This window comes from Homo sapiens, chromosome 7, assembly GCF_000001405.40.
Source record: "Homo sapiens chromosome 7, GRCh38.p14 Primary Assembly".
Classification (NCBI taxonomy): domain Eukaryota; kingdom Metazoa; phylum Chordata; class Mammalia; order Primates; family Hominidae; genus Homo; species Homo sapiens.
The window spans coordinates 26,505,097-26,530,986 of record NC_000007.14 but is presented as its reverse complement, the minus strand read 5'-3'; the positions used below and the strand labels follow the sequence as shown (position 1 = coordinate 26,530,986).

Sequence of the window (25,890 nt, the reverse complement as noted above, 5' to 3'; positions counted from 1 at the left end):
ACGGAAGCCCTCTCCCAAAAAAGTGATATATAAGTGACATGAGATCAGTTTCTTCAAGTATAGAATAGGGCTTAATATAATGCCTGCCTCATAGAGTCCATATGAGAATAAGGAAGATAATGCACAACTAGGGCTTTGCATTGCTACCCTCATAAAGTAAAAAACTCAGGAAAAAAAATCAGTAAAGCAATTATTGTCATTATTGCTAAGTACCATCCCGGGATTCCTAAAGAAATTAATATTAGAGAATCATGACATTTTACCTGCAAGAATATGCAAGCTTTACCCTGTAGTTCTAATTCTTTTTTTATAGAGAGAACTAAACAATAATACTGTCTGCAGAACACTAAATTTGAAGATAAACAAGCTAAAGTGAATAGGCACTCTCAAGTAAAAATTGCTAGCAATGGAGTCTTGGAGTAACTACTACTCTAAGGCAGAAATGGATCAAACAACTCAATTCCATCCACTTCAAAAGAGGACTCATTTTCTCACTAAGTCCTGGACATCCCCAGCAGAGGAATCCTTCCCCAAAGCACTCTTACCAGTGTACTAAAGGTAATAAAACTTACTCTCATTTAAACATAGCCAAGAAGCATTTTTAAATGAATATTTATATATTTGGAATCATATTTGCTCATTGTAACTTCAGAAATGCATTCCCTCAGAAACAAACCTTGGCTCCACCTATAATCAAACAAGGGAGACCGAGGTTCATTCCAGGAGGTGCAATGCCTTGGTGGATAAAGAGTGGATAATGGAATTCTCCAACATAACTCCTGAAAATAATGAGATAATCAAATGTTAATGCTCATAATCTTTGAATAACTTGCATAAATATCACAAATATTGGGGGAAAGTATCTTAGCTGAGCTGTGGCAGAATTCCTCTTAGGGGAGAGAACTGCCTTCATTTTAGCAAATACTTAGACCATTTTGATGGCGTTTAGATGTAGTCCAAGACAGAGGTAAATTGCTCTGCATGATAACATTGGAGGAATTTTGAGGTTCTGGGATCAGCCTGAAAAACAGATAAAGGAGAGGAGAATTTTGACAGACAGACAAGCCGCTAGTCAGTGGTTGGGAGACATTTAGGAAGAAAGCTGACAGAGAGGTTTACATAAGCATGGGCATGTTAGAGGAACTATTATAAAAAATGATGTCCAACATTCAATTCTTGTAAAGCTGGATTTGTAAATTATTACAAATTTGTAAAGCTGGATTACTAGGTACCATCTCCTACACACACATGGAATTGTTACTATAGGTCTGTATACATTGCATTGAGTAGTGATTGGAGGCCCTCAAGGAAACTGGCAGTATCTTGGTGGCCACGGGGCAGAGAAACGAGAACAACCTTGGGGTCCAAGAGAAATAAGAGGTCAGCCAGAACAAGAGGTTGGAGGAAGGGACCATGAAAACATGAGCCCCTGGAAAGTCACAGAAATCATGGGCAAGGTAATGAGAGATTCATACCGCCTACGGACAAAAGAATTTGAGCCAGTCTTACCCAACCTGAGCTATATATCTATATGTAAAATATATTAAGATCTAATCCTCTTTCATTGGAATTTTTTTTTTTTTTGAGACAAGGTCTCATTGTGTTACCCAGGCTGGAGTGCAGTGGCACGATCTTGACTCACTGCAGCCTCGACCTCCCAGGCTCAAGCCATTCTCTCACTGCAGTCTCCCAAATATCTAGAATCACAGGTGCGAACCACCATGCCCAGCTAATTTTAATTTTTTTTTTATGCAGAGATGAGGTCTCGATGTGTTTTCCAATTCCAGGAATTTCCAATAATTCCAGGTCTCAAACTCCTGGGCTCAAGGGACCCGCCCACCCCGGCCTCCCAAATTGCTGGGATTACAGGTGTGAGCCACTACGCCTAGCTGGAAATTCTTACTAAATCAAAGTAATCTGAAAATTTAAGCAGCTATTCTGGCTCAGCCCTCACTTCGGATTTTGGAGTAATTGACAAGCTGAAAAGGCAAACTGGAGCTACTTTTTCAGTTTCAGAGATGCCAGCAACAGCTTATTTGCATTCTAATAGTACTGTCCCTTTAAGGAGGAGAACCCTGTCATCAATGAATGGTTGCTGATCTAATGACTAATTGATGGCAAAGAGTCTCTAATGACCAAATAGCTCATTAGGGTTGACTGAGCCAGCAGGGGTCTTTGAAAATGTTTTTTATTCCACTCTGAGGCTTTGTGAGTTTTCCTGCACACATCAGACCACTGCCCAGTTTATGAAACCTACAAATGTGAAACCACAACAAGAATGGGGCGGACCTACACAAATATAATTTGGAAGCACAAAGGCAAATATGGAACCCACATGACAGAGACATGTCACACTGCCAAAATTATATTATGGGAAGCTCCAGAGAGACATGCTGGGAACCAAATGCGTTCCCAATAGGTAACAACTTATGCCAAGAATTGAGTTGTCACCATGATAGCATGGAAATAGCTTCAGAGTGGGTAAATTCACCATTCATTCATTATTTAATAAATCAATGTTTATTAAATACCTATTACCCATATGGCAGTATACATAAAAACTTATGTACATTATATCAATTTATACAATTGCTATGGTCATTCGCATATGAGAAATATTAGGTTCTGGGAAGTTAGGAATATTGAAAGAGTTATATAACATATGCTCTATATAGAACTGAAATCCAGGTCTCTCCCCAAAATTCCTGCCTTTTTTCTTTTCACCATGTTGTTCCCTATTAGAGTTCAACAATTCAAGCACTTTATTTTTTGGATAACATTTGTCCCTAAAGACATAAGGAAAGGCCCTTACTGTCAGCATTCATCTGAAAACAAATAGCCAATTCTGGATTTTATGGAAAAGATAACGTGAATAATTGAAATATCCAGATAAGCCCCAAGTGATGGTGATGAATTCTCACTCAGTTCTTCTTTCTAACACAGAGTCCACCCACTTCTGGGCTACTACCAGAACAGGACATCCAGTGGATGAGTTTCCTTCCTGGCATCAATCCCCCCCCACTGATGAAGCTGGACCTGGAAATGGAGCAAGAGACAAGAAGCAAACACCCTGGAAGATTGGCCCTGCGTGCCGAAGTATCTCATTAAACTTAAGACACTGATTGTAATATTTTTCTTCAGCACAAGAAACCCCACCTTACATTTAACTGAAGTTTTGTGTTGTTTTTGTTTGTTTGTTTGTTTTGGTAAGACAGGGTTTTACTCTGTCGCCCAGGCTGGAGTACAGTGGGCAGGATCATGGCCCACTGCAGCCTCGACCTCCCATGCTCAAGTGATTCTCCCAGCTCAGCCTCCTGAATAGCTGGGACTACAGATGTTTGCCACCACACCTAATATTTTTCTTTTCTTTCCTTTTTTGGAGAGAGATGGGGGTCTCCCTATGTTTCCCAGGCTGGTCTCAAACTCCTGGGCTAAAGCCATCTTCCCACCTAAAATTTTAACTGAAAACAATCATCCGGGAAGCAACCAGGGTATCCAGAGCACAGCCAAGGGATTGATTTCAAGCAAGAAGTATGTCTATAAATGTGGCCAAGGTATTTATTCTCCAACTTCCACCTGCCATAGCCGAGGGCTACTCGCAGAGGCATTAATCCCCTGGTACTTTAGGCGTGGGCGCAGGCCTGCTGGTGGAGACACTTGCTGTAGGATGCTCGAGATTAGTGCCAAGAGGCTATGAACAGGGCTTTGAAAGCATCTGTTCCATCTGCTTTTTCTCTAGGAGAATGACTAGAACAGTCCCCAAGCCCACATCTGCCCATGAACATATAGAAGAGGGACATATTTCCAGCTTAGTAGTGTATAGTTGATACACGCTACCCAGTACCATGAGAGTATATAATGCTAGCATAAACATCCTGCAATATGTCAAGATATGGAGAGGCAGCTGTTTGTCCCTCTTTTGAAGGATTCAGGCAATCTTGGTTGACCTCTATTATAGAACTGGCATATATTAGCTGAAATAATACTTTAACAGTTTTTTAGTACCCAACTATATGTTCTGTTATAAGGAATAGCAAATGTTTAATCATAAATATTTTAATGGCTTCAGGGATTCATGGTATTCAATGACCATGTTAAATGATAATAATCACATCTGGTTTATTACTATAGTAATTCAGCAGCTTCTCTTCAGCAGTTATTTTTTATTATATGTGCTCTGCTACTGTCATGGTCATTTATAGCAGTAATATTTTAAAGTGGCTCATTTGTTTGTTTAAGGACAGTTTCACAATATATTTCTGTATTAATATACATTTTGTACTATTATTTCCAAGCTGCCACTGGAAAATTGATCCTAGCCTGTTAACGACTGGAGAGGCGGGAAGACATGTGAAATGTCCAAACAGAAATAGAGTGGGGGACCAGATGGGGCTGTCCCAGCACCCACTGGGGTTATGACAACTGCTGCTGGGCTTTATTCATAAGTGAGGAAGTGCATAGGAAAGAGTTAACAAATAATAGATGTAAAGAGAACACAGATTTGGAGAGGCAATTCAAGTGAAATACCATCCCGGAGGCAAAGGCTATGGGGAGGACCCAAAGACACGTGGTTAGCAGGGCCCAGGTAGTCGGCAGGCCTTGGCAGGCATCTCAGTTTCAGTAATGGAATGATAGTGAGGAAGCAAGAATGAAAAAATGAGAACTTGCAAGAGTGAAGCAAGGGCAGGCCAAGGTCACTCACTGGGTGGCTTAGACGCTGACATCAATTTCAAGTCTGCTCCAAGCGGGCAGCAGGAGTGAATCTCCGAGGCATGGACTGGCAGCGTCCCCTCCTCGGCCTTTCATTCCAACAGTTCAAAGCAGCAGGTGTTACCCAGGGCTTGTGTGTGATGCCTGCTGCGCTTCTGCCTCTTCTGGCACATCACAAGGTGTTGCTTGGGGAGGGGTAAATATTAGCCTGAAATCCTATATTGCTCCTTAGTGAGGAGGGGTCCTTGATAACCCAGGGGAGTTAATTTTCTGTGACATTCTGCTGAACCAGGTTGCGGAAACGCAGAGGAGCCCAAAGAAAACTTCCAGGCTACTGCTCAGCTTCCCCTTGGCTGAATCCTGATTGGTTGGGTGACAGAGGGCAAATGGCTTTTACGGCTATGAATGATGTATGACCGTAAAATGGTCTGTAACCAGAAGTGCCAACTGACATGCCTGCTGATTTAACGGACACCCTGGGTTATGTTTGCAGAGACGCTTAAATAAACACATGCTAGGTTTGAGGCCGTTTACCAAGCAATCATTTCTCTCGCTCTTCCTTTCCATTTTATTTTACTTCATCATAAAAATGAAGATAGTAAAGTGATGATTCCCTTTTTTATAATAATGAAGATTTACTCATTGCAGTGGCAGTTCCTCTTTCTTTCTTCCTTCCTTGCTGCTGTGTCTGGCTCTTTTTTGCTCTTTCCACCTACAGGGGTAGATGTGATGGACTTGGGGAAGCCCAGGCAGGGTTGGCCAGCACAGCCACTAGAATGAGCTGCCCTTTAAGAGTGGAAGAGATGTTGTTCAGTTGCGTTTGTGTTTGGCGAATTAGGAAAATAAAGCCCTGAGATCACGGTTAGACCAATGAATGAAACGGGAGGATTTCTGTTCAGCTACAAATCAGCAAAGGCATCAGAGACAAGGAAGACAACCCTTCTTATGATGGTCCTGTCACTGGGAAATATCCCATGAGTTCTTTGGCTCTGTAACCTTGGGCTTCTCTGATCGATGCGCTACACCCACAGCACTGATGATTAATGCAAAGTTAGATTTGGGTTTGGGAGCCTAATCTAGATGATTTTCATATGGCTACTGAATGGTCATTAGAAGGATGTAAATTACTGAATGTAGAAGTTTTCTCAAATAAATTGATCAGAAATCCATAGGACATCATAGAGTAATTCCTGGCTATCTCTGCAGAAAATATCATATAAGATCCATTTGACTTTACTTTCCAAGCTGAGTCAGGAATGGCAAACTAATCCCCAGTTTTTTCCCACTGGATCTCAACTGGGCCTCATAATCTCTTTCACTACCCACTGCTGCAAGCTGGCACTCAAGGTAATTTGCCACTCCTGTGCCCGAACTTTCCACTCTTTATTTTCTAAGCAAAGAAACTTACTGAACTTTTTTCCTTTTTCTATTGCTTGAATGGTATTTTAAAAACTAAATTATTTGTTTTTGTGAACCCATCTAATTCTGGTGCCTTTTTCAATGGTAAATCTTTAATCAATGTTCTTCTATAGTAATTGGCCCACTCAAGTTTTCATTTCTTCTAGGATCAATTTTGTTAGTGTTTGCTAGGAAATCATTTATTTTAGATGCTCAAATTTATTGTCAAAGAGCTGTATGCAATGTTCTCTTAGATTTTATTTTGATCTCTCCCGTATCCATATCTCCCTTTCTCATTGCTAATCTTGTATATTTTCGTTCTCTCCGTTTTCTTAGTCTAACTTCAAAGGGATCCTCTATTTTACTTGTCTTGACAACCATCTTTTGGACTTATTCACTCTTTCTACAATTTTTTATTTCCTATATCATTTGTTTCAGCTTTTGTCTTTATTAATTTTACTTTATAATTTCCTGTGTTTTGTGTCATTGTTGTCATCATTTTTCTGATTTCTTAAGGTTATTACTTAGATTATTTTTTACCTTTTTGTCCGTTATAATAATAGAAGCAAGGGTCAGCACACTATTATGCGTGGGCCAAATCAGACCCACAACCTGTTTTTGTACAACTTGGGGACTAAGAATTGTTTTTACATTTTAAAGTGTTGTAAACAAAACAAAAAGGAACCTTCAACAGAGACAATAGGGTCCACAAAGCTCTTGCCCTTTACAGAAAAAGTTTGCTGACCCTTGATACAGGCATTTCAGGCTATACTTCTTCCTCTGAGTACAGCTTTCACTCTGTCCCAGATTCACACAAACTATTCTACTTTCCCTTGCTTCCTAGATACTTTATAATTTACCTTTCAATTTTCTCTTTTATCAAAGGGTTGTTCAAGAGTAAATTTCATAACATCTAAGTATATTTTTATCCACCATTTGATTATTTATGTCTAATTTTATCAGCTTATGATAAGAGATCGTGGCCCAAGTCCATTCCATTTCTTCTATCTGACTGGCTCTTCCTGTCTGGTCCTGTAGGCAGTTGGGTTTACTTTGTAGAGTTTATTTTAATATAGTATTTTTTAGCCTTTCTAAACCCACGTTCCTCCTTCCCCTGAACACTTTTGATAAGATAAAGTCTTCTTGCCCTCCTTTAATAATAATTGACATTCAATCTAAATTAAATATTGAGACAAAAATAAATCAAAGCAATGAGACAAAATATTGGGGGTTTTTTAATAGTGCACACTCTTGAGATATTTACTCCAACCCTATGGTTAACTGTCACCACTCCACAGAAAATTGCTCTAGTCTGACATGTCACATTTTGGGCCTGGCAGGACTCCATAGTCCCCTTACTCACTGTGGTGTCTTCATTATAATCCAGATGACAGAGCTCCTTTGTGGAATGTGAGTGATATACACAGATGTATTTGAATCTGGGCATTGGTAAACTTACAAGCTCAATAAAATAGAGATGTCCAAGAATTCAGGCCAGGAAGGAAGAAGTAACACTGAGATTTCTGATACCATCATCACACACAAGGGAACAGACAAAAGAAATGATTTAATTACTATGTTTCACGGAAAGAAGCTTTCAGACTTCATAAACTATGTAGAATTTTTTAAGCCCATAATAAACATCACAGGCAGTAGCCCAGAAAGATTGGCTGGACCCCCTGTATCTGAGGGAGCATTTGCCTTCGAAAATTTACCCATCCAGACTCTGGCGTCAGCTCTACAGAAACATCACTTTGTCTATGATTGCAAGCTGGTTATACCTGGGGACACTGGTTTAGGCAAGTAAGTCTCAGAGAGACTTATAGTAAATCACATGCCAACTTATTTACTATGAGAAATGGAACTAATGCATGGATGGAACAGTACATTGCAATAAAGTCATTTGTCCTATAAAGTTATAAGCACATTGAACCTCTCTTATTCCTTCTATGTATTTTAACAGTTATGTCAAAAGTACCACTAAGTTCATCAGCAAATGAATGAATGAATAAAATCTGGTATATCCATACAATGGAATATTATTTGGCAATGAAAAGGAATAAGGTACTGATAAGTAATACAACATAGATAAATCCTGAAAACATGCTAAGCGAATGAAGCTTGTCACAAAATATTGCCTATTGCATGATTCCATTTATATGAACTGTCCAGAACAGGCAAATCCATAGAGACAGAAAGTAGATGAGTGATTGCCTAAGACTGGGGAGAGGGTCTAGGAGTTGGGGGAGTGGGAGGTAATCATTAAAGATATGGGTTTTTTTTGGAGGTTATGAACATGTTCTAAAATTGATTATGGTGATGGCTGCACAACACTGTGACTATATAAAGAACTAGCTAATTGCATACTTTTTTTTTTTTTTTGAGACGGAGTCTCTCCCTGTTGCCCAGGCTGGAGTGCAATGGTGCGATCTCGGCTCACTGCAACCTCCGCCTCCCCAGTTCAAGGGATTCTCCTGCCTCAGCCTCCCAAGTAGCTGGGACTACAGGTGCCTGCCACCACGCCCAGCTAATTTTTTGTATTTTTAGTAGAGACAGGATTTCACCATGTTAGCCAGGATGGTCTCGATCTCCTGACCTCATGATCCACCCGCCTCGGCCTCCCAAAGTGCTGGGATTACAGGTGTGAGCCACTACGCCCGGCCAATTGTATACTTTAAATGGTTGCTTTCTATGGTATTGAATTATATCTGAATAAAGCTGCCACCAAAAAAAAAAAAAGGATCATTGAGATAATTTGGGGTTATAGCTCTTCCAGACTGATACCTTCACATCTTTGTATTTTCATACATGAGCATTTCATTCAAGGGCATGTTCTTCTCACAGTAGATGACAGAAGTGTAAATGAAACCCAAGCACATTTAAGTGCAAGCAAAACCCAGGCATATTTAAAACTTCTACCTGTATCACAACCACTAACCTCCTATCAACCACGCAAGTTGCATGGCTAAACCTAATGTCAATGGTGAGAGGATGTATGTGCCGCCAGCTCCTCCAGGAGTCATGTGGGAAGGCTGTGGATGTACGATTGGATTACATCATGAATCGATGAAGGAGGTGGAAAATTTGGAAAAGAATCAAATCCACCACATGTACCATTTTCTTTCTGGGTGTGGGAGGTGGGTGTGTGGCCCTAACACAATGGAGTGCTGGTACTCTGGGTCTCCTTACCCTGTACACTGGGAACTCAGGTCCATCTCATCCACTGGACATAGTTTTCCTTGTTTTATTTTCTATCAACAAAAATCTTGAGATCTTTTAAACTGCTGTGAAAAAAAATGAACCATGATTTTTTTTTTTTTTTTGAGATGGAGTCTCGCTCTGTTGCCCAGGCTGGAGTACAGTGGCACGATCTCAGCTCACTGCAAGCTCCACCTCCCGGGTTCACGCCATTCTCCTGCCTCAGCCTTCCCAGTAGCTGGGTCTACAGGCGCCAGCCACCACGCCCGGCTAATTTTTTGTATTTTTAGTACAGACAGGGTTCACCGTGTTAGCCAAGATGGTCTCAATCTCCTGACCTCGTGATCTGCCAGCCTCGGCCTCCTTAAGTGCTGGGATTACAGGCGTGAGGCACCGAGCCCGGCCAATGAACCATGATTTTTATGTTTCACAACTTACAGAGTTGGCTTCATCTATTTGATAATTCTCTTAAAATATTTCTAACATTTTTAATTTTGTTACTCTAGGAAGCTGGGAGATGTACTAGCCTCCCATTCTCCTCCCTGCATTTCCTCCATCTCAGAGCCTCCCTTGCTTTCCTCCTGTCTTCCAGACACAGATATCTGCTTCCTCTCCTGGCTCCAACATAGTTCCCATGTCTGATTTGAAGTGATATGCCTATGATGTAAGTGGATGTCTCCCTGCACTAGAACTTGGCCTCCTTTTGCACATATAGGATGCAGGTCTAGGTTCCTAGGAAGATAAGGTTTAATATTTGTCAAATAAATGAGTTAACATATCCAAAATTACATAGATATTTGGCAGCAGGCAAGAGAAGGTAAGAGGTGTTGCAAAGAAAAAAGAGCTTATACTTTCCCCAAGTAATATACTGTGTAAAGCACAACAATCAAAGTCAAACTTCAATGCCAGTAATCATTTTCCAAATAGGAAGGGTTTCTGTTGGCCATGTTTTATTACTAATACATTACAGCACTGACTCAGAAATGTACACCCTCTTATTCATTTCAAAGTATGTAAACTCTGATAAGCTGTTTCTATCTGCTGCCAGAGGGTGAGTGCTGAGGGCCGAGAGAGACCACCACCAGCAGAATCTACCCCAGGCCTCATCAGACCTCGGCTCTGACTCAGAGCTTCACCCTGCCTTGACACAGGTGACAGGTGATTTTCACAAGAGCAGCACGGCCATGGGTGCCAGCTGTGATGACACCCTTTTCCTTTCCATTCAGTAATATCAGTTCACACAGAGCCTCCCTCTGTACCTACACGCCTTGTGGGGGATACCTCACTTCACCATTAACAACGAAGAATAAATACTATTAGGATCCCAATTTTTTTTCTTTTTCTTTTTAGGACCCCAATTTTATCAACGAAGAACTTGTGATATGGGAGGGTTCGTGGTAGAGCTGGGATGGGAACTCAGGTCATCCAATCCAGTCTGTTTATAGTTACCACCTTCCAAAGAAACATCAAAATACAAGTGGGTGAGAGAGAGACAAATTCACTCTATGGGAAAAAAACATATTATTCACAATATGAAGTAGTAACAAAAAAAATTGTATGCAACCTCGCAGCATACAGGGCCACGCTGTCACCATGCTGAGCTTGAGAGCAATTGCTCCAGCCCTCCATTGATGCCGTGTTTAGTCCAAGGGAGGCCTGGGAAACAGAGGGCATAGAGGAAGGCTTTGGGGCCAGCCCAACCTAAGTTCAAATCCCATCTCCTCCACTAACAGTAACCTTGAGCAAGACACTTTCTCAGTCAAGTTTCCCATCTGAGAAATGTAGAGATTATGACGCTTTCCTCATGCGCTGTCACAAGAATTAAACTAAATAATACACATAAGCAGCCCATAACATGAGTGTTCTATAACTGTTTCTCTTCCCTCTCTAAGGCAACAGGAAAGAAAAAACACAGAATGGCTATAAAGTATCAAAAATAAACAAGCCAGTTGCTCTAATTTAGCTACCATTGGTGTGTGTATCACGGGCCAAGGGTCTACATCCAAGAAAGGAGAAACATATTTGCTCTGCACCCCACAGTCTCTTGAGCTTTGCTGTTAACCGCAAATGGTAAATTAGTTCTATTGCAGGAGAACCAAATTCTACTCACTTTCTAAATGCACGTAATTGCCAAGCATAGGAGATTAATACCCTAGAAACTAACCTCAGAGACAGTTTGTTTAAAAACAAACAACCTAACTAAAAACCCAAAGCCGTTGAGTTCCAGAAACAACCACTCTGAAGCCAGCAGAAATTTCTGCATTTAACCCACCTGCACCCCGGCCCTCCCCCAGTTAAGGCAAAGTCTCTGATTGAGCTTTTAAGAAGAAGTTGGAGGGATCTGTTGCTGGAGATAGATGGGAAGATTTTATCAATCAGACAAGAGGTCTGTGGGGGCATTTCTAATGAGAAGCCAGTTAAGCGGCTATAATTAAAGGTGATCGAAGTGCCTGCAGTAGCCAGTCCTCGGGCCACTTGCCTGTTCTCTTACTGGCCTACACAGTGCCCGCCCCAGATGCACACAGCTGCTTTCACACGTGGCATTGATTCCACCCAGGCCACAGTGGCAAGAAGAGGCAGAAAAGCACAGCTTTCTCCCAAGTGTGGAGGAGCAAAGACCGGCACATCCTCCAGAACCACTGCCGCTGTTCCCAGCTTTGTGGGGTGGGGAGGGGTCAGGACCCAACCTGGAGTGAAGATTCCTCATTTGCTTACCCCTCTGTGCCTGAGGCTTGCCGAAGCCAAAGCTCCTACAGGGAAGCTGCCCAGGGGAAAAGCCACAATCACTGTACCCTCCCTCAGCTCCCATTCAGGCCCTGCTTCCAGCCCCTCTGAGCCTACAAGAAGTGGGATGGCATTGCAGGAGTGTCACCCACACTGGTTCACAGGCAGCACCTGCTGTGGAAGAGGGACAGGCTGAGGGCTTCCGACAGCAGCCAGTGCCCTACAGACCTTCAGGTTTATAACACGCTTCACAGAGACACTGGCACCCAGGACAGCCCAGCCCTGTGGAGCCATGTTAAATGATCCCCATTGCACAGACGAGGAAGACTGATGATGAATTGGCTAAAGGCAGGAATTCAGAGGCAGACATGCCTTGGACCCTACCACCCACTAGCTGAGGGGCCCCAGGTGAGTTTGCCTGGTCCCACTCTGCCTCAGTTCCATCACCTGTAGAACAGAGATGACACTACCCACATCTGTGAGCTTTAGCAAGGATTAAATGAGATAATAGACGAAAAGTACTTAGTACAGTGCATAGAACCCAGTGAACTCTCAAAAAATAATAGCCATAACCATTTTAGAAGGTTTCAGAAGTGAAGGAACACACCCAAGGTTGTGCAGAGAATGGGATTCACACCCATGCCTGTCTATTTCAAAACCCAGGCTCAAAGTATTATGCCACGTTGGTATATTCATAAGAACACACAGAATGCATATAATGTAAGTTATGAAAGAAAATAATGAAGTAAAATGCAATGGGGTCTTCCATAGCCTCTTCTGAGTGGCTTGCACAGAGCACACAATCAATAGGTATGTATTAAATGAAAAGTGGATGAATATTCATGTTTAACTCTCCCTTTCTACTTTTCCTAACTAATACCTGCATCTTACAGCAGTTGCACTTTCTAAATGAAGCAAAGGGCAGTGGATTACCTCTTCCCCAGAATGTTGAGTTTGTGCTGGGACACCTCCATCCCATCCTCTCTCCTGTTCTTTCCTGCGCTAGTCATGGTTCACAACCTGAGATCGAGTCCAGGGTACTCTTTTGTTTTCAGATGATGTCACTGTTTGTATCTTTTCAGCTTTTTAGGATTTTTGTCTTATATCTCCTTCTCAGGCAGATTCAACTTTCTGTCACTTCTTCATTTGCTCCATTCATTTTTACTGAGTGCCAGCTGTGGTCCTGGCATTGGGGATCCAATAGGGAACCACAGATAAGCTCCAGTTGCAGGGAGATAAACAGAAGAACAAAAAGTAAAATCTGGGCTGGGCGCAGTGGCTCACGCCTGTAATCCCAGCCCTGTGGGAGGCCGAGGCAGGTGGACCATGAGGTCAGGAGATCGAGACCATCCTGGCTAACAAGGTGAAACCCCATCTCTACTAAAAATACAAAAAATTAGCTGGGTGTGGTGGCACGCACCTATAGTCCCAGCTAATTGGGAGGCTGAGGCAGGAGAATCACTTGAAGACGGGAGGCAGAAGTTGCAGTGAGCCGAGATCGCGCCACTGCACTCTAGCCTGGGTGGCAAAGCAAGACTCCGTCTCAAAAAACAAAAAAAAGTAAAATCTGTCCAGGCATGATAGCTAACACCCATAATCCAAGCACTTTGGGAGGTCAAGACGGGTGGATCACTTGAGCCCAGGAGTTCAAGACCAGCCTGGGCAACATGGGGAAACCCCGTCTCTACCAAAAAAATACAAAAATTATCTGGGCGTGGTGGCACACGCTTGTAGTCCCAGCTACAAGCTGAGGTGGGAGGATCACTTGAGCCCAGGAGGTTGAGGCTGCAGTGAGCTGAGATGGCACCAATGCACTACAACCTGGGCGACAGAGTGAGACCCTATTTCAAAAAATAAAAATTTTTAAAAAGAGGTTAATCTATAATATGTCAGAGGGTGGTAAGTCCTGTGGAAAAGCTCCTACAGGGGAGAGGAATTGGAAGTGCTGGGTGGCCACCAGAGCCATCTCACATGGGGCTGACACGAAGGCCTCGTGCATGAGGCAATGTGTGAGCAAAGACCTGAAGACAGTGCCGGAGCCACCTAAAGTGGCAGTTGTGCAGAGAACACAAGCAGTCCAGACACCTGGGGGAAGAGTGATCCAAACAGAGGAACACTAAGAAGGTCAGTGTGCCTGGAGCAGAGTGAGCAACGGGAGGGGATGCATCGAGCTCGGAGAGGTAACAAGAGCAGGAGTCGGGGGCTTTGATACCCATAGGGGGATCTTGACTTGTTCTGCCTTAGGTGGGCAGTCCTTGGGGAGTCTTGAGCAAAGTCGTGACATGATCTGGCCTACTTTAACAGGCAACCTGGTGCTGGTGTTGAGAACAGACTGTGGAGGGGGAAGGGCAGATGCAAGGACACCAGGCAGGAGGCACCGGGACTATCCCAGGAACATCAACTGGCTGGTGGTGTGAGCTGGGAAGAGGTCGTGGGGTGCTGGGTATCCTTTGGAGGTGTTTGGAAATGAGACTCTCCGTGGAGACAACTGGGCTCAATTCCACACGGTTCCATCCAGGTCATCGTTGCACCTTATTCTCAGGGATTTACTTAAGTGCAGAAGCCAGAGTTTGGGGAAATATAAAATGCGTCTGGGCTTTCACACATAAATTGAACTCATCCCTCTTGTAGGTCATCTTCTAAAAGGAAAACCCACGCAGATACTGGTTTCCGTTTCACTCAAAACTTCCCCAAAGCAGTGAACATCCTTTCTTTTTTTTTTTTTTTTTGAGACGGAGTCTCGCTCTGTCGCCCAGGCTGGAGTGCAGTGGCGGGATCTCGGCTCACTGCAAGCTCCGCCTCCCGGGTTCACGCCATTCTCCTGCCTCAGCCTCCCAAGTAGCTGGGACTACAGGCGCCCGCCACTACGCCCGGCTAATTTTTTGTATTTTTAGTAGAGACGGGGTTTCACCGTTTTAGCCAGGATGGTCTCGATCTCCTGACCTCGTGATCCGCCCGCCTCGGCCTCCCAAAGTGCTGGGATTACAGGCGTGAGCCACCGCGCCCGGCCCAGTGAACATCCTTTCTCTATAGACAAATCCTCTTCACTTCTCCCCTCCTTTTCCTCCTGTCCCCACAGAGTTTTTGTAGATTTCCTGGGGACGCCCTGAAGCTGTGGGAACCACAAATCTTGAGTCCTTTGACCAGCACCCTCGGTGCCTTGAGACAGCCAGAAACCCAGGTGGCTGACCTCGCAGAAACTCCCCTGCTGGGCCTGGGACTCCAGCCAGGAGCAGGCTGTGCAGCCTGCAGCTAAGCCAGGGCAGATTGCTGGAGTTTGGTCAAGAGAACAGATGTGCATTATGGGCCAATCTGACCGCAGAGAAACATTTCCTGGTACCTTTTAAAGGTGCACAATTGCCTGGTTAAGCCAAGGCAATTTGACACACATTACCTTGTTCATAAACAGAGGGAGAGAATGAGAGAGAGAGCCCTTCCTCCCGGAGGGTGTGCAAAGGTAGGAAGCAAAGCCAAGCAACTCAGAAATGCTGCAGCAGAGCTTCGGGAAACAAATGTCGGTGGGAAGGGCCCAACAGCATATTAATGGCCTAGACGTTACCACACCCAGGCCAGATGCAAGAAGCTATTGATCGTCTGTTCACTCTTCATTTCAAGGCAGGAGTTGAGCTATCTTTATGCAGGAGGAGAAACACTCCATTTAAAGGAACCCTCCCATACAGACTCCCTCGTCACTCCCTCATCAAACACCTACCCAGCATCTGCTCTCCTTTTTCTCTTTCTTTAAAGTTTTAATTTTAGTTGACAAATAATAATTGTACATATTTATAGGATATAAGGTGATCTTTCAATACGTATGTACTTAATAGTGCCTGCTACTTTCTAGTAATTTCCTAAGGAATCCCAAGGAAATGACAAGCATCTTTATTCTTAAGACACTTAAACTAGAGTTGGGGAGACCAGATGTCTGATAAGTGAAATTCCCAAGGCAACAGAGTAGGAATCCTGAGAGAGAGAGAAAGGGCTTCATAAATAAGGCCAGTCCTGTATCTTCCCACTCTGCCTGAAATGCTTTCCATCTCCTCCCACCACTATCCCATCCACCTTACCTAGCGACTTCCATCTTCTCTAGCAACACTGAGCTCCCGAGTCAGTTGCTGGATGAAACCTCCCTGAAATCTGACCTCCCCCCGCACACACTCTTTCCTGCTCCCTGGGCACTTAACCCATAAATTCTTCTCCACACGTCTGCTTTTGCCACCAAACTATCACAATGCTTGGCATATAATGTGCGCTCATTAATATCAGTGCCCATGAAATGAAACTCTGGACTTTAGTTTATCTGAAGGAGCTCAAGGGGAAAGTCATTTCTATAAGGGAATAGGACAGAATATGAGCAACGTGGAGCTGAATGAAGCAAAAGCAACTCTTTCTTATCACGTGAGACATTAGCCAAGTGCTTTTCATGATATATGGAATGGAAAAAAAACCAAGATTACTCAAAATGTAAGGTTTTATAAACGTTGATTTTCAGGGGCCGTGGGAGAGGTAAGAGCCAGGGAAGAGGGAAGGCAGGGGCAGGTGTGCGAAGCTTGAAGCATTTAAAGGAATTCAGTTCCAAGACATGAAGGGGGAGGAGAGAAACACTGTGTACCAGGTATGAATATCTAGAACATTCTCTGGGCAAAACTCAGGGAGTTCATTATCTGGGGTGAGGTGATTTCAAGAAAGGCATTGTCACCCTGAAATCAAGGGGGCACCTAGAAGCCATTAGATAGAAGGACAGGGAACTCTGAGAAATAACTTTTCCAGGAATGAGGCTTTAGAAAAAAGAGGAAGTGAGGGAAGTGAAGGAAGATTAAAACAGCCTGCTGCACAGGGTTAACCTGGGCCGAGCTAGAAGATATGCCATGGCCCTGGACAGCAGTGGGGATGCCTTGTCCTCCACAAAACTTATACTCGGCAGAAAGGGGGTTTGAATTCTAAATCTCAACTAGTGGCTTTGAGAAGGAAAAAGTGATAGTGAGTTCCCACAACAGCACCTGAAGAGACCATTCACTCACTCATTCATTCATTCATTCATAGAACAAATATTTTTTTAGTAGCAAATATGTGCAAGATATTCTATTGAGTGCTGTGAGGGCTGAAACATGACTCTGTTGGTATCCAGACCCTCAGACCTTATAGCTAAACACAGTTTATCAAGAATGCTTTATTAACTAGGCTACTAGTTAAGAAAATCAACGTCCTAAGCCATATGCTATGAAAGTCCAGAGGAAGGTGAGGTTGTTTCCACGAAGAGAGGTCAGGAATGACCCCAGTGACACTACTGGGGGAAGTATCACTGGGACTGGGTTTTGATGGATAGTAGAAGTATTTTAAAAAGCTTGGGCCAGGCATGGTGGCTCACATCTGTAATCCCAGCACTTTGACAGGCGAGGCGGGTGGATCATGAGGTCAAGAGATTGAGACCATCCTGGCCAACATGGAGAAACCCCGTCTCTACTAAAAGTACAAAAATTAGCCAGGTATGGTGGCAGGTGCCTGTAGTCCCAGCTACTCGGGAGGCTGAGGCAGGAGAATCACTTGAACCCGGGAGGCAGAGGTTGCAGTGAGCCAAGATTGCAACACTGCACTCCAGCCTGGGTAACAGAGCAAGACTCTGTCTCAAAAAAAAAAAAAAAAAAAAGCTTGGACAGGACCCCATGCACATAGTAAATAGAGTAAATTATATGGGGGTTGTTAGTAATATTATAATTCAAGCTAATATACTTGTAATTAACCAAGCTATATGATGCCTTTCCTCATAATGGTCCTTCTGCTGGAATGCCCTTCCCCTCCCCAACTTCAGGTCATCACATCTCTACAAACATTCCCCTGACCCCTGCATCTTGCCCTCCGTCACGCCATCCCTGTGGTGGGTACCCTGAGCTCACCTCTGTAGTACACTTGCCACTACATCAGGGGCCATGTGTGGCCTCCGGTATTGACTGTGAGCACACAGAGGGCCCTGCCTGGGTTACAGTCACCTTCACAGACTCAGTATCAGGGCAGAGCAGATGCTGGATGGAGGAAAATGAGATTGCCAGGTGTCAAGAGAAGAGATAAGGCCCAAGAATAGATCTTTAAAAACTGTCTATATTTTGAAGGTAGTACAAAGAAAAACAATCCCAGGGAGAAGCCTTGTTTGCCTACACAGTGGACACAGAGGGTGACCTTGAATATCTCTGGGGCTTCTCTTACTCCTTGTTCCATCAGAGAGAAATAGCTCCTCTGTTGTCACAGGGATACTTGGTCAGGAACAGATCTTCAACAGCACAGGTCCCTGCTCCCCACCACACACAACACCTCCCCCAACATATTCATAACAGTTAGACAGGGCAGTGTTTTTATTTCCACTGTCTGTGCATCTGGGCCTATTTCCTACCTCCCAAAATGGCAGGGGTGAAGGCAGATATTGATCCATAGGGGACCTCACCCAGAACTACATGCAAATTGCCAATGAGAACCCCCCAGCGTCCAGACAGGAGCCCAGGTGAAGGGGGATTCTTTGTGGAACTTACAAAGGAATCAAATCTATTGTTTCATGATCTAAGATAACACAAGGACACACAATTTGGTATTTGCCTCTGTGTTCTCTAAAACACGGGTCATGCAAGAGGCCTTTCAATTTGAAAACCAGAACAAAAAATCAACCCCTGCCAACTTAACAAATTCCCAAAGGGGGACAGAGCTTAGTTTTGCAGTTAATTCCGTCTTCCTTCAGTACCTTCAGGACTCCTCCCAGGAAGCACTTGGTGTCCACAGAGCTTCTGTTTTCTAGGCGTGTTCCATGGAACACCGTAGGCATCCCTCCAACAGCACAAAGGCACTTTAATCTCGTTTTATGGAAGGGGGAATGCACCCAGACGCCATTCTAGAGCCTTGTTTATAACAGATGTCAGCAGCCCGCTATAAAATGCACACTTTTGTCAATGAAATATAATGTTCAAAGCAAAACATAGTATGTTTAATTATAAACTTTTTGCCATTTCATCAGTTAATAAAATAAGCTGACTCTTCATCAGACAGTACTTTTCTTAAGCCAGTGTGGAAATTCCTTTTCCCTTCTCCTGGCTCTAATGGGAAGCCAGTCAGTCTCACACTCTATACCACTGTGGAAATCTGGAAGGAGAGGGGAGGCAGCAGATTGAATATTTGTGAGTTTCATGGCACTATGTAGATAAATGGCCAGTGTCCTACCTCTCCTGGGCACTTGGGAAGGAAAAAAAAAAGGCAATAAGTAGGAATTGAATGATTCCCTCAAGGATTTTAAGGGAGCTCTTCCTCCCCTGCTGTTTCTGATTTTGACGGTGAATGTATCATTCACCTTCAAATGCCTTACATAGCAGTGAGAACATGGCCAAGATGAGGAGCTTTTCTTACATGTAACACTGTTCTATTTTATGAGAAAATTTGGTTAAGGAATTAGTGTATATATTTTGAACCCTTGATAAAAATAAAATGTGATTATTTATTCAAATTTTTTTATTACTTTTTACTGGTTTGTTATTTTTAAATCCATTTTTTGAGGTCTAACTCTACACAAATGCCTCCACTTTAAGTAGATAGTTCAATGAGTCTTGACAGCTGTGTACACCCATCATGTAACCATCATCCCAATCAAGAAACAGCCTACTACTATCACCAAAAAGCTTTCCTGTGTACTTTTGTAGTCATTCTCCCCCATCCCTAACCCCGAGACCACTGCTCTGCTTTCTGCTACCGTAGATTAGTTTTACCTTTTCTATGAGTTAATATAAATGAACTCATATTAATATTATGTGGTCTTTGGTATCTGGCTTCTTCCACTCTGCATCATGTATTTGAGATTCATCTGTTTTGCTTCAGGCATCAGCAGTCCTTTTCTTTTCACTGCTGAGTAGGAAAAGGACATCCATTGTGTGGATATCCTACAATTTGCTTCTCCACTCAATGGTTGATACACATTTGGGCAAACTGGAAACATCCAGTTTGTAATGATTATCAATAAATTCATGCATAAATTTTTGTGTGGACATATGTTTTGGTTTCTTTCAGTTAACTAACAAGAACTGTAGTGGAATTGTTGAGTAATATAGTAACAGTATATTTAACTTTATAAGAAATTACTAAACTGTTTTCCAAAGCAGTTGGACCATTTTTGTATCTCCACCAACAATGTATGAGCATTCTCATTGTTCCACATCCTCACCAACACCTTGGATTGTGAGTCTTTTTAAATTTTAACCATTCTCAAGGTATGTAGTGATACCTTGTTGTGGTTTTAATTTCTATTTCCTTGATGACTAGTGATGTTAAGCATCTTTTCATGTGCTTTTGGCCATTTATATATTTTCTTTTGTGAAGTTACTGCATTAGTCCATTCTTGCATTGCTATAAAGAACTACCTGAGACTGGGTAATTTATAAAGAAAAGAGGTTTAAGTGACTCACAGTTCCACAGGCTGTACAGGAAGCATGGCTGGGGAGGTCTCATGGAACTTAAAATCATGGCCGAAGCCAAAGGGGAAGTAGACACATTTTGCTACTTCAGAGGAGGAATAAAGAGAGAAGGGGGAGTGCTACACACTTTTCAATAACCAGATCTCACGAGAACTCACTCACTATCACAAGAACATCAAGGGCGAAATCCGCCCCCATGATCCAATCACCTCCCACCAGGCCCCTCCTCCAACATGGGGATTATAATTCGACATGAGATTTGGGCAGGGACATAAATCCAAACCATATCAGTTACTGTTCATATTTTTGTCTATTTTAAAAACTGAGTTATTTTTCCTGTTATTGAATTGTAAGAGTTCTTCATATATTCTGGATACATGCTTTTTGTCATATATATGTTTTGTGAATATCTTATTTGCCTATTCATTTTCTTATAAAGTCTTTCAAGTAATCAACATTTTTAATTTTATCAGGTTAAATTTATCTTTTTACAAAAATGATTAGTGCTTTTTGTGTCCTAGGAAAACTTTACGTAAGACAAGATCATGGAGATTTACTCCTATCTTTTCTTCTATAAGTTTTATAATTTCAACTTTTACATTTAAGTGATAGTGTGGGGTAAGAGTCAAGATTCTTTTTAAAAAAATAGATATCCAGTTGTTTCTGCACCATTTATTTAATAAAACTGTCCTTTTCCAATTGGTTTGCCTTGAAACCTTTGTCAAAACTCAATTGACCAAATATATGTTGAGTTTACTGGTTTTTAAAAAATCAAATATTAAACTTTGAATCTGATACATTTTAAAAATTAAGTTAGGCCGGGGGCGGTGGCTCACGCCTGTAATCCCAGCACTTTGGGAGGCCGAGGCGGGGGCATCACGAGGTCAGGAGATCGATACCATCCTGGCTAACACAGTGAAACCCCGTCTCTACTAAAAATACAAAAAATTAGCTGGGCGTGGTGGCCGGCGCCTGTAGTCCCAGCTACGCAGGAGGCTGAGGCAGAAGAATGGCGTGAACTCGGAAGGCAGAGCTTGCAGTGAGTCGAGATCTCGCCACTGCACTCTGGCCTGGGCGACAGAGTGAGACTACGTCTCAAAAAAAAAAAAAAAAGATTTAGTTAAATGCTATTTGAGATAGATCAACGAAGGGAGCATGTTCAGGACATTTAAAAAAGTAAAAATAACCCTGAAAAAAAACTGCCTATGTGTGTGTACACCCTTACCAGCACCCAAGCTCTCGGAGAGCTGAGGCTGTGCCTGACTTAGGCTTGTCTGCCCAGCGCCTGACATATAATAGGTTCTCAACACAGGTCACTGAATAAACAAAAGAATCAATGAATGAGGGAATGAGATCAGCTTTTTATGGGGCAGCACCAGAAAAAGAAACAGAGCTTCAGGAATATCAGTGCCTTCTTCAGAGGGGCTGTTTATTTGCATTCACCATAGTTACCAAGTGGTCCTTCCCTTCGATGAAAGAGTAACTTGGATAGAACCAGGAAGCTCTCACTGCCCTTGGGGGTGGGCAGAATCTCAGCAGAGGGGCTCCTGCATTCCTGCGTTAGTTCCCGTCTGGCTCCACTGCTTTACCTGCCTTTGCCTCCATTTTCCGAACTGTCCGTTACAGCATTTCGGTGCAGACTCACTGAGCTAATAATGCCTCCACAATCTTAGGTGTGCCAGAAAAAAATTCTCATAACTCAACTCATTTTCTATGAAAAGACGGCACAGCAGGCAGCCAGCTCACCCCACTCAGTCTGCAATGTCGCTGCCCGAGGGTCTACATTCTTGCCCAAATGGTCCATCTGGACCTGGCTGCTCTGGCTCTGAACCATGCAGGTGGCAGGAGTCTCTGTGGGGATTCCCCAGGCCACTCCCTGTCTGGGCTGTGGTACCTGCAGGCAGTCCCTCTGCCTAGGAAAGCAGGTGCACGGCCCCACCCTCGCCCTCCATCCTGTCTGCTCACATCGCCTCTCACGAAAAATTCTTTCTCATCTGAGGAGCGAAGCCTTTTCTTGTTTCTCCCAAACATTTGCCCATGACCCCACATCCTCTACACTCTATCCCATTTGTCCCCAGAGGTGATCGACACAGCTGCTTAAAAAGGAAGACAGAGTAAAGAGAAATGTCTGGGGCCAAAAGAACTACGGAGAAATGTTAACTTTTTTTTTTTTTTTTTTTTTTTTTTTGAGACGGAGTCTCGCTCTGTGACCCAGGCTGGAGTGCAGTGGTGCGATCTCCGCTCACTGCAAGCTCTGCCTTCCGGGTTCACGCCATTCTCCTGCCTCAGCCTCCTGAGTAGCTGGGACTACAGGTGCCCGCCACCACGCCCGGCTAATTTTTTTGTATTTTTAGTAGAGACAGTGTTTCACCGTGTTAGCCAGGATGGTCTCGATCTCCTGACCTCGTGATCCGCCCACCTCGGCCTCCCAAAGTGCTGGGATTACAGGCGTGAGCCACCGCGCCCGGCCGATTAACTTTATCTTAATAAGATAAAATGTCGTGAACTTGTATGTGATCAATTAATGTAAGTTATTATTATTATTATCATTATTATTATTAGAGGGGGAGCCAGAGAATGAGGAGCCCAGTTTATGATGAGAATTAGAACAAGGCTCTGCCACCATGCTGACCGCAGCAGGGGGCGCCTTCTTCCCCCTGCTGCTCAGGGAGGGAGTGCCAGCCAAGTTTCACCCATGTGACCACACTTCCATCCAAAACAATTTGAATTAATTTTGTGCATGAAATTTGGTGGGATGCAATGCCAAATGTTTAACTGAAATCAAGATGCAAACTTCCCTTCATTTACTCATTTTGTAAATGCTGTCAAAAATAAAATAAAAGCCATTAAGCTTGTCTGGCAACATTTGTCCTTTGTGCACCACGCTATTCGTCGTCACTGCCTCCCTTATCCTCTGTCTGCATGCCCCCCTCCTGCTCTCCTATATTTGTTCTGGTATATTTACAGTCCCTGGGCAGGCCCAGCACACTGTCAGCTCTACTGACTTTGCCAAGTCTAAGATCCCTTTTAGGGACTTATTTTATTTAAAGAGCACCCCATTAATGGGTTTAATGGCCTTTCAATCACTTAGTATGCATTGTCAATGAGGGAGAATCGATTTTCTGAGAATTCCTGTTCTGGGAGGAAAATAAACAGCCCTTCCTTCCCATTGCAATTTGGCCAATGAGCAGATGATGTAGAACTCAGCTCTATCCCAGACTCACAGAGCTTTTCTTGCAGCGGGCCTGCGAGTGTGCAGGCTCACCCAGCACCACACTGAGTAAAACTCACTCCTTTCTTTCTGTGTTGCTGTCTCCTTTTAAATTGTGACTTGCCAGGTTGTGGGGACACCCCGCATATGCTGCAAATGAACTTTGAATGAGCTCGACTGTTGCTCTCACAAGACTCACTTCTGGGTTTGTGCCACCCTCTTTGGTCAAGAATCAAACCATTACCCATGGAGATGTATTAGATCCTTCTGGTTCACAGTAATGGGTGGGAAAGAATGGCTGGCATTCCGAGACTCCCCCTACCTCATACACCCATCCCAGACATGAACATTTTTTGGAACACCATGGTCTTGAGTTCCAGAACCTTGAAGAAGTGATCAAACACATATCCTCTCTCTGAGGTAACCTCTAATTCCATCAATATCTGTTGATGACCTCCTCTGTAAAAGACATTATTCTTGGCACCATGAGAGATGCATTCAGGGGACACATGAAGGGTAAAGGCAGTCTCAGACAAAACACAGGGTTGTCTCCTCCAAGTTAGGATCTCTATTAGGTGGTGTTCAGCAAAACTCTCTCCCCCTCCTGTTCTTCCCACCCCTTCCCTCCTCCCCACTCTCTTCAACCCTTTCCCAATAATCCTGCACTAACCCTGCCGCCCGCCCACCATTCTCAATACCAACAGCTACATTTTATGGGCACTGACCGTGTGTCAGAGTTCCTGTCTGAGCACTTGACAAGCACGGTGGTCCTCACCACAACTCCGCAGAAGGGCTATTGTCATTGCGATCCCTATTTCACAGAGAAGGAAGCCGCATTGGAGGGAGGTCAGATCATTTACTGGAAAACCAGGTCCGTCTTACTTGACCTTTTCTCTTAAACTTTATGCTGACTTTGTCCTTTTCTTGCTCTTTTGGATGTATTTGGCTCTCCAGGGAGCCCTCACCAGCAGGTACCCACTACCCTAAGGTATGCGAAGCAAATTTGTTTATATCCAGCTATTTATAATAATAACAGTAATAGCTAGCACCTATGAAGGGCCCATCCTGTGCCAAATGCTTCATAGATTTTTTTTTTTTTTTTTTTACTTAATGCTCACAAAACCACCCCCAAGAAATGGAGAAAAGGACACCATGAGGTTAAGTGACTTGCTCAAGGTCTCACAATTATTCAGTAATAATAATGGTGAAATTGCTAGCATTGATTGAAGGCTTATATGTCAAGCACTGGGCTAAGGTTTTTATATCTATGTATTTTTAACTTCTAACAAGGTAAGTATTATTATTTAGAGCTTACAGATGAGGAAACTGAGGCTCAGAGATTTAAAGTAACTTGCCCAAGGTTATCCAGCCTGTAAGTGGTAGAGCCAGCATTTAAAACCAGGCAGGTTGATGCTTGTGCTTGTAATAACATGGACATGGTCACACCCCAAAGCCCATGTTATTCATATTGCACTGAAGCTACTTCTGTCCTCCCTCCCTTAAAGCCCCTCAGAAAATGGCCCATGAGTTTCCCCAAAGCAATAGTTGAACAGAAACCAGGGAGATTTCAGGTTTTGCAGCAGGGCTGTCTCTTAACAAGCTCCTGCCCTGCACTGGAATTGCATTTGCATTTGTCCTTCTGCAGTAGTTTCCAATTCCCAAGCAGAACACAATTTAACTGTAAAATTTGCCTTAACTAGGCAGCTGTCTGCTGCAGTCAGGCACCAGGCTCAGGTGCGACTCCCTGTAGGCTCTCCTGAATCAGTGTGCCAGCCTCTGTAAAGCAATGTAAAGTCACCTTCGAGAAATTAGATGCCACTTGGAAGAGGCGTATGCTGCCATGCCCATTTGTTGTCAGTTTGGAACAGTGCAGGGGGTGCCAATCATGACTCAATTACTCCCAGGATTTCTATCCTGAAAGCTTCTCTGTCATTTATGAGAACTGGCACAGGGCAGACTACCAACTGTCCTGAACCAGGGCTGTTTCTTGGGACAGCGTCTTGGAGGGGAAAGGTTATAGATTTACTTGGCTTCCCTTCACCACAATGTCAAGAGGACATCAAAACAAGGGATCCCGGCTGGGCACAGTGTTCACACCTATAATCTCAACACTTTGGGAGGCCTAGGCAGGAGGATCATTTGAGGCCAGGAGTTCAAGACCAGCCTGGGCAACATAGCAAGATTCTATTAAAGTAGCATCATTGTCTA

General features: G+C 43.4%; 1 long non-coding RNA gene across 4 annotated transcripts in view, besides 2 other annotated features; it reads right to left on the bottom strand.

The window, feature by feature from the left end:
* Positions 1–25,890, bottom strand: part of LINC02981 (long intergenic non-protein coding RNA 2981) — a 142,382-nt gene that overhangs the window by 9,964 nt on the left and 106,528 nt on the right. The gene's annotated exons all lie outside the window — the stretch shown is intronic.
* Positions 21,743–22,243: an enhancer, noted in NCBI's record as "H3K4me1 hESC enhancer chr7:26548363-26548863 (GRCh37/hg19 assembly coordinates)". NCBI's record gives its function as "activates a minimal SCP1, AML or CMV promoter by ChIP-STARR-seq in primed H9 embryonic stem cells {active_cell/tissue: H9 hESC(primed)}" and the evidence as "EXISTENCE:reporter gene assay evidence [ECO:0000049][PMID:30033119]".
* Positions 22,244–22,744: an enhancer, noted in NCBI's record as "H3K4me1 hESC enhancer chr7:26547862-26548362 (GRCh37/hg19 assembly coordinates)". NCBI's record gives its function as "activates a minimal SCP1, AML or CMV promoter by ChIP-STARR-seq in naive H9 embryonic stem cells {active_cell/tissue: H9 hESC(naive)}" and the evidence as "EXISTENCE:reporter gene assay evidence [ECO:0000049][PMID:30033119]".